This window comes from Homo sapiens, chromosome 11 (genome assembly GCF_000001405.40).
Source record: "Homo sapiens chromosome 11, GRCh38.p14 Primary Assembly".
In the NCBI taxonomy this organism is placed as follows: domain Eukaryota; kingdom Metazoa; phylum Chordata; class Mammalia; order Primates; family Hominidae; genus Homo; species Homo sapiens.
Genome location: NC_000011.10, coordinates 97408890 through 97417939, shown reverse-complemented (window position 1 = coordinate 97417939; position 9050 = coordinate 97408890).

Genomic DNA, 9050 nt, shown 5'->3' with positions numbered 1-9050 from the left:
AGCTAACTTTAACCATTCCCAGGCAATGTCCATTAGCTTAAAAATCTGAACTGGGTAAAACATTCAAGGAAGGACTAACTTATTCTCTATGAAAACATTTTAGTCATTATTTGTCCCCAGCCTACTCATGGAGGAGAAACTAAACACTGAGAATAACCCAGGCTCATATATATATATATACACCCTACATATATATATATGTGCCCTACATACATACATATACTGTGCCCTACATATATATATGTGCCGTACTATATATACATATATACATATGTAATATGAGGCAAGCCCTACAAATACATGTGTTTATATATATATATATATAAAAATTGGTATATATATATAAAATTGGTATTTTTTTATATATATATATAAAATAAAATTGGTAACTTGTTTTCCAAGTTTACAACCCCTCTTTGCCTTGTGGGACATGAAGGTGCAGCTTCTGTTAGCTTAATATTGTCATGATATATTCAGTGCTCACATTCTAACCCATTCCATTTCATCAAATTCAAGATCTGTGCACTGATTAGTAAAATGAGAAAGGAAAGCTAAAGAACACGTTCATACCCAGCTCTGTTTTACTGTGTCACAATGTCACATAACACACTGGTTTTATTACATCTATTTTTACAACCTCTTGTGCTACAATTTAATTTGACAGACACAGTGTCTCTGGAAAAAAATCACAAAATAGTCTTAGAGCAAATAAAGTGATGGGGAAAGGACTTTGCAGCTAGAAAATACGGCATAAGGTTGGGCCAGTGCCCCTGACTGGGGATTGCCAATCAGGGGCACTGGGCCAACCTTAATGCTGCATTTTCCTGAGCTCACAGTTTGTGTATCCTCTTCATATGACTCACTACCTGAGCACTTATGGAGTCTTTTATTCTCTTGAATTCTTAGAGATCTTCTACCAAAGATTGTAATAGGATTAACTTATTCTCTCTCAAAACAGATAATTTTGGTATATTTTTGATTAGAATATATTTGATATTTCCAAGAACTGAAAAGTTTAAAGCATTGCAATCATTTCAAGTGTCTTATTAAAGTTTATATTGTATGACAATTTAACTTTTTAAGACTGTTTTCTTGTTGTGGTAAGACAAATGTGCTAAGAATGTCAAAGAACTCTGTACTGTAATTCAGTTCAAAATTTATTCTAGTTTTAAAATTTTATAATTCCGATAAACATAGATTGAAAACGTTGTAAATGAGCCTGTTCACATTGAATTCATTTGAGGAAAAATGGGTTAGAATAGAAGAATCACTACTTTCAATAATCTAGGGGCAATGCTGTCCAATAGAGTTTTTGGCCATGATAGAAATGTTCAATAGCAGTAATATCCTATATGGTATACAAGTTAGCCAGACATATGTATTAAGCAATTGGAATGTGGCTAATTTGCATAAATAGAACGAAATTTTAAATTGACATAATTACCCCACTACATGCAAGAAAAGGCTTTTGATAAAATTCAGCATCTCTTAACATATAAAAACTCTCCATAAAATTAGACATCAAAGGTACATACCTCAGAATAATAGGCATTTATGAGAGACACATAGCCAGCATCATAATGGGTACAAACTGGAAACATTGCTCTGAAAAATAGAGCAAGACAAAGATACCCACTCTGACCATTCGTGTTCAACATAGTTTTGGAAGTCCTAGCCAGGGCAGTCAGGCAAGAGATGGAAATGAACGGCATCCAATTAGGAAGAGAGGACATCAAACGATCACTTTTTGTAGGCAATGGAATTCTATGCCTGAAAAAACTCACAGCATTTGCCCAAAGGTTCCTGGAACTGATAAACAACTTCAGTAAAGTTTCAGGAAACAAAAATCAATGTAAAAAATCTGTAGCATTTCTATTAATCAACACATCACATCCAACCTGAGCCAAATCAAGAATGCAATTTTTTTCACAATAGCCACACACACACACACAAAATAACGAGGAATACAGCTAACCAGAAAGGGGAAAAATCTCTACAATGAGAATTACAAAGCACTGCTCACAGAAAAGAGATGAAATAAACAAGTGGAAAAATATTCCATGCTCATGAATAGGGTGAATCAATATTGTTAAAATGGCCATACTCCCCAAAGCAATGTAAAGATTCAGTGTTATTCCTATCAAAGTACTAATTTCATTTTTATAGAATGGAAAAAAAATTCTAAAATTTATACGAAACTAAAAAGGACCCCAAATCACCAAAGCAATCCTAAGCAAAAAGGACAAAGCCAAAGGCATCATACTACTTGATGACTTTAAACTACACTACAAGATGACAGTAACCAAAAGAGCATGGTACTGATACAAAAACAGACATATAGATCAATGAAACGGAATAAAGAATCCAGAAATAAAGCCATGCACCTAGAATCATCTGATCTGTAACAAAGTTAACAAAAACAAGCCATGGGGAAAGAATTTCCTGTTTAATAAATGGTGCTGGAATAACTGGCTATTCAGATGCAGAAGATTGAAACTGAGCCACTTCTTTTCACTATATACAAAAATCAACTCAAGATGAATTAAAGGCTTACATGTAATACCTAAAGCTGTAAAAACTCCAGAAGAAAACATAGGAAATGCCATTGTAGACATAGTCATGGGCAAAGATTTCATGATAAAGTTTCTGAAGGCAATTGTAACAAAAACAAAAATACACAAGTGAGACCCACATAGCTTCTGCACTGCAAAAGAAACTACCAACAGAGTAAACAGACAACCTACTGCGTGGGAGAAAATATTTGCAATTGATGTATCAATTATCTAGATCTATAAAGTACTTCATAAGCAAAAACCAAACAAACATAATTTAAAAAATGGGCAAAGGACACAAACATTTTTCCAAAGACATTCACGCAGCCAACAAGCATATAAAAATGCTCAACATTACTAATCATTGGACAAATGCACATCAAAACCACAATGACATGCCATCTTACACAGTCAGAATGGCTATTATGGAAAAAGTCAGAAAATAACAGATGTTGACAAGTTTGCAGAGAAAAGACAACACTTGTACACTGCTGGTGGGAATGTAAATTTGTTCAGCCTCTGTGGAAAGTAATTTGGAGATTTCTCAAAGAACTTACAACAGAACTACCATTCAACCCAGCAATCCCATCACTAGTTATACACCCAAAAGAATATAAAGTGTTCTACGAAGAGACATGCACTTATATTTTTATTGCAGCACTATTCACAATAATAAACATGGGAAATCAAGCTAGATGCCCATCAATGGTGGAATGGATTAAAAATGTGTTACATATACACCATGGAATACTACTCAGTCATTAAAAAAATGAAATCATGTCCTTTGCAGCACCATGGATGCAGCTGGATACCATTGTCCTAAGTGCATTAATGCAGGGACATAAAGTCACATAAATTTTCTCACTTAGAAGTGGGATCTCAACATTGAGTACATGTGGACACAAAAAGAGGAACTCTAGACACAGGGGCCTACTTGAGGGCGGAGAGCAGAGGATAGCGAGGGTCAAAAAAGTACCTGTCAGGTATTATGCTTGCTACCTGGGTGACAAAATCATTTGTACACCAAATCCCAGAGACATGCAATTTTCCCATGAAGCAAAGGTGCACATGTAACCCCTGAACCTAAAATAAAAATTTTAAAAGAGGGAAAAAAATGTGGCTAATTTGATTGTAGAACCGAAGTTTTAAATGTATTTAGTTTTGATATAATCATGTGTTGGGTAACGTACATGTAGGGACTGAGAAAAACTCGACACTCCTTGCTTAAAATTTTGTGGTGATTTAGGGTATTTTATTTATCAAGTAATAATTTACATAGGATACATTTGCATTAGATAGTGAGACTCTATTGAAATTTAGTTACAGTAGATCCTTGTATTTATAATGTCTTCTTTTTGGAAAATAAATTATCTGGCAACTGGCCTTTGAATTTATCATAAAAATTACGATTCTTTCAGTTTTGTTATTAAAGAATGTGATGTGGAACTACTGAGAGGATTTTGTATGAAATCTGACTCTTTTTTTCATTTATGAGGTACTTTTTTTCCCACTGTAATTTTATTCCTCCGTCATAAACTCCCCCTTCTCCTATGTTGTTCTGAATTAATAGCAATATAGTTCGCAGTTTTCTCAGGTTGTAACCATTTCTTAATTGTGTGAAGAGGATGTGTCAAGAAAAGCAATGGCTTTTGTTTATTTGCATTCACTGCATCAGAAATAGTGAAATGAGTTACTGAATGTTTTGCTGCAAATAGTTTAAAATTACTTATTCAAATGAGATGACATTTAGAAAGAGGTGACTCATTTCAAATCATGCAACAAAATTGATCAAAGGCAGATGCCATACTGTGTCTACCAAACTCTAATCTAGTTTTTTCTTTTCCACTATGTCAAATGGATGAAGTACCAATCATTTAACTATACTGGACTTCAGAAGAAATTAAATAGGTTTCTGCTTCTTTTTAATTATCATGATTTTTTCCCAGGTGAAGGAAAAGTCCTGAGTTCATAATGTCGGGTACAATTTTTCTACTTGTGTTACGGTGCCTCTGCTGAAAACACACATACAAAATTAAGAATGTGGGATACTTCTATATTTAATGTGTTAAGAGTGTTGATTATGAAAGAAGTTAAATACTGCCAAATGTTTTTTCTTATTTATTGAGATGCTCATATGTTTTTGTCCTTTATTCTGTTGATGTGGTGTATTATATTTATAGATTTGTGTAGGTTGTGCTGTCCTTGCATCCCTTTGATAAATGATTCTTTGAATGTGCTATTGAATTGGTTTGCTAGTATTTAGTTGAAGATTTTGCATCTATGTTCACAAAGAATATTGATCTGTAACTTACTTTCTTGTAGTGTCCTTATCTGGCTTTAATATTGGCATAGTACTGGTCTTGTAAAATAAGTTTGGAAGTATCCCCTCGATTTTTAAATATTTTTGGGACAAAGTTTGAGTAGCATTGGTATTAGTTCTTTAGATGACTTGGAGATTCAGTAGTAAAGTCATAAAGGGCTGGGCTTTTTTTGATGGGAGATATATTATTACCAATTCAATCTTTTTACTCATTATTGATCTGTTCATATATTCCATTTCTTAATGATTCACTCTTTGTTGATTGTGTTTATTCATAAATTCTAGATTATTCAATTAGTTGGTGTATAATTGTTCATATTAGTCTTTTATGAGACTTTACATTGCTAAGATGTCAGTTATAACATCTCATCCTTGTTTTCAGTTATTGGAGTCTTTTTCTCTTCATGAAGTAACATTTTGTCACTTTTGCTCATCTATTAAAAAGCCAACATTAACTTTTATTTAAATTTTTTTTCTGTTCATTTTATGTATTTCTGGTCGGATATTTATTATCTTCTTCCTTTTACTAACTTTGGGCTTAGTTTGTTCTTTTTTCTAGTCCCTTGAAGTGTAAAATTACATTGTTTCTTTGAGATCATTCTTTTTTGATACAGATGTTTATTGCTATAAACTTCCCTCTTATAATTGCTTTTGCTGCATCCTCTATGTTTTGGTATGTCGTGTTTCAATTTTTATTTTTCTCAAGATACATTAAATTTTATTGTTAATTTCATTGACACACTAGTTCAGGAGCATGTTTTTTAATTACTATGTATTCGTGAATTTTTAAAAATTTGATTTCTAGCTTGATACTATTGTATTTGGAAAAGATACTTTAAGTGATTCCAATCTTCATAAATTTGCTAAAAGTTGTTTAGTGGCCCAACGGATCTATCCTAGGGAATCTTCTATGTGTACTTGAGAAAAATGTGTATTCTGCTTCTGTTGCATGCAGTGTTCTCTGTACATGGCTTTTAGGTCCATTTGTCTAAAATGTAGTTTACAATGTTTTATTAATGACTTCCTGTCAGATTGAGCTGTACATTGCTGAAGGTGGAGTATTGAAGTTTCTTACTATTATGTTATAGTCTATATATTCTTTCAGCTCTATTAATATTGGCTTTACATATTTAGGTGCTCAAATTTTGGGTACATATATATTTACAATTGTTATATCTTCTTGATTATTTGACCCTTTTATTATTATAATAATTTAAAGAGACATTCTTTCTGTCTTTTTATGGTTATGACTTAAAGTCTATTTTATCTGATACAGGTGTAGCTAGCCTGGTTTCTTTTGGTTTTCATTTGCATGATATATATTTTTTTTATCCCTTTACCTTCAAATTGTGTGTGTCCTTAAACATGAAGTGAGTTTCTTGTAGGTAGTATATAGTTGAGTCTTTTTTGTTTTTGTTTTATCCATTCAACTACTCTATTTCTTTTGATTGGAACATTTAACCTATTTATATTCAGAGTAATTATTGATACATAAGGACTTATTACTGCCATTTTGTTAATTGCTATTTGACTGTGTTATAGGTCCTTCATCTTGTTTTACTCTCTTTCTGTCTTCTTTTATGGTTGGATGATTTTCTACAGTGTTGTCTTTTGATTCCTTTTTATCTTTTGGATATCTAATATTGAATTTTGCTTTGTGGTAACCATAAGACATACATAAAACATCTCATAGTTGCAATAGGATAGTTCAAACTTATAACTTAACTTTGATCACCTAAAATAACTATGCATCTACTTATCCCACACACATATTTGGTTTTTTGATGTCACAATTTACATCTTTGTATATTGTATATTCCTTGACAAATTATTGTAGCTATTATTTTAATAGTTTTGTCTTTTGACTGTATTTCTAAAGATATAACTGATTTATACACCACCATTACATTATTAGAGTACTTTAAATTTCACTGTGTACTTACTCTCACCACTGAGTTTTATACTTTATTATATTTTTGTTTTACTCTTTAGCATCCTTGTCTTTCAGCTTGAAGAACTCTCTTTAGCATTTGTTGTAAAATAGGTCTGTTGGTAATGAAGTCCCTTAGCGTTCACTTGTCTGGGAGCCTTTAGTGTTCCTTCATTTATAGAGAACAACTGTGATGATTACAGTGTCCTTGGTTGGAAGTGTTTCAGCTTTAGCACTTTGAATATATCATCTTATTCTTCCCTTGCCTATAATGTTTCTGCTAAGAAACTTGCTCGTAGCCTGATTGACTCTTCCTTGTATGTGATTTGCTTCTTTTCTCTTTCTACTTTCAGCGTCTTCTTTTGTCTTTGAATTTTGACAGTTTTATTGTGTCTTGGTGTAATCTTATTTAGAATAAATAATTGGAGACCTTTGGCATGGCTGTACCTGGATATTTATATATTTTCCCAGATTTTGAAAGCCCTTTGCTATCATTTCTTTAAGCAAGCTTTCTACTGTGATGTCTCTCTCTTTCTTAAACTGCTATAACCCCAGAGTTTTCTCTTTAATGTTGTTTTATAAATCTCATAAGATTTCCTCATTCTTTTTTCTCCTCTGAATGTATATTTTTTAGTAACTTGTCTTTGACTTCACATGTTCTCTCATCCATTTGATCAGTCCTGTTGATATTTTCTTTTGCATTTTTATATCATTCATTGTATTTTTCAGCTTCTGAATGTTTTTATATAATTTTAATCTCTCATTAAATTTCTAGTTTTATGTAGTTTCTTGATATCATTAAATTGTTTTTCTGTATTTTATTGAAGTTCACTGAGCTTCCTTAAAAAATTATTTTGCAATCTTTGTCAGGAAGTTTATAAATTTTCATTTCTTTTCAGTGTCAGTTTCTGGTGCTGTAATTAGTCCCTTTGGTAGTATCATGTTTTTCTCATTGTTATTGATCACAAATAGAGACTTATTCTAGTTGTTTCAGAATGACTTTTTCTGAAAAAACCTATCACCAGTCAGCCCTTCTAGAGATACTGGGCAGGTCATCTGATGTGATTCATTGCCAGGCTTGTGGCTGGAGTACTCAGAAAGGAGTCTTAGTACCTGGGTTAGTGGGTGGGTAAGCCTGGCACCTGGGTCATCAGGGTTGAACCAAATACCTGGATTTACCAGAGTAGATACTTTTCATTGTATCCACAGGTGTGGTCCTGGAGCCTAAGTCCCCAAGGATGTGTCTGGAGAATGTATTTGTTGGATCTGGCTTTAAGCCTGGGTCCATAGGGGCTGACCTGGCACTGGGATGGAATTTGACCCTGATTCTGCAGGAGTTGGCCATGTGCTGGGATAGGCTGGTTTCTGGATCCACTGGGATAGACTTAGAGTCTGAGTTTATAGTGGCTGTCCTGGAGCCTGGGTCTGCAGGGAATAGTCCTAGAACCTCAGTGCAGGGGCCGGTTTGGTGCTAGGTCTTCTAGGTTGGGGCTAAATCCTGGGTCTGCTTAAGGAGGCCTGGACCTGGTACTACTGGAGGCTTGTTTCATGGGGACCAACCTGGTGCTAGGGTATTCATGGAGCCTGGATGCACAGAGTTCAATCTACAGCCTAGGATTGTAGGAGCTTGTCTGGTGCCTGGAGACTAGGTCTGTGGAGACCAGCCTGTAATCTGTGTCCTAGAGGCTGCATGTACAGGTACTGGCCTGGAAGTTACATGGGGGCTGGCCTGGGACCTAGGTATTCATGGGTGGTTCTGGGGTCTAGGTCTTGGGGGCTCCCCCACCACTGGGGTCCACTGGCATGGATCTGGACCATGGGTCTGCCGCAGCTTGAGGCCACAGGGGCTGGTGTGGCATTGGGTAGGCCTGGAACCTGTGTCTGCAGATGCCAACCTGGTGTCTGAGGCAAGGGTTTCTGATCTTGTACTGGGGCAGGTTTGAAGCCTGGGGCTCTGTGGACTGACCTTGCTCTGGGCTGGTCTGGAACCAGGGGTGGCCCTGAGGCCTCAGGAACTGTGCTGGTGTTGGGTGGGCCTGGAAGCTCTATTTATAAGGGTTGGCTTGGAAGCTGGATCCACAGGTGCCAGTCTGATAACTATAGTTGAAAGGGCCAGCATGTTATTGGGATGGGCCTGAAGCCTGGGGCTCTGTGGGCCAGCCTGGTGCTGGGGGTGGTCTAGAAACTAGGACCACCAGGACTAGCCTTACCTGGGGGCTGACCTGGTACTGGAGTAGGCCTGGAGGCT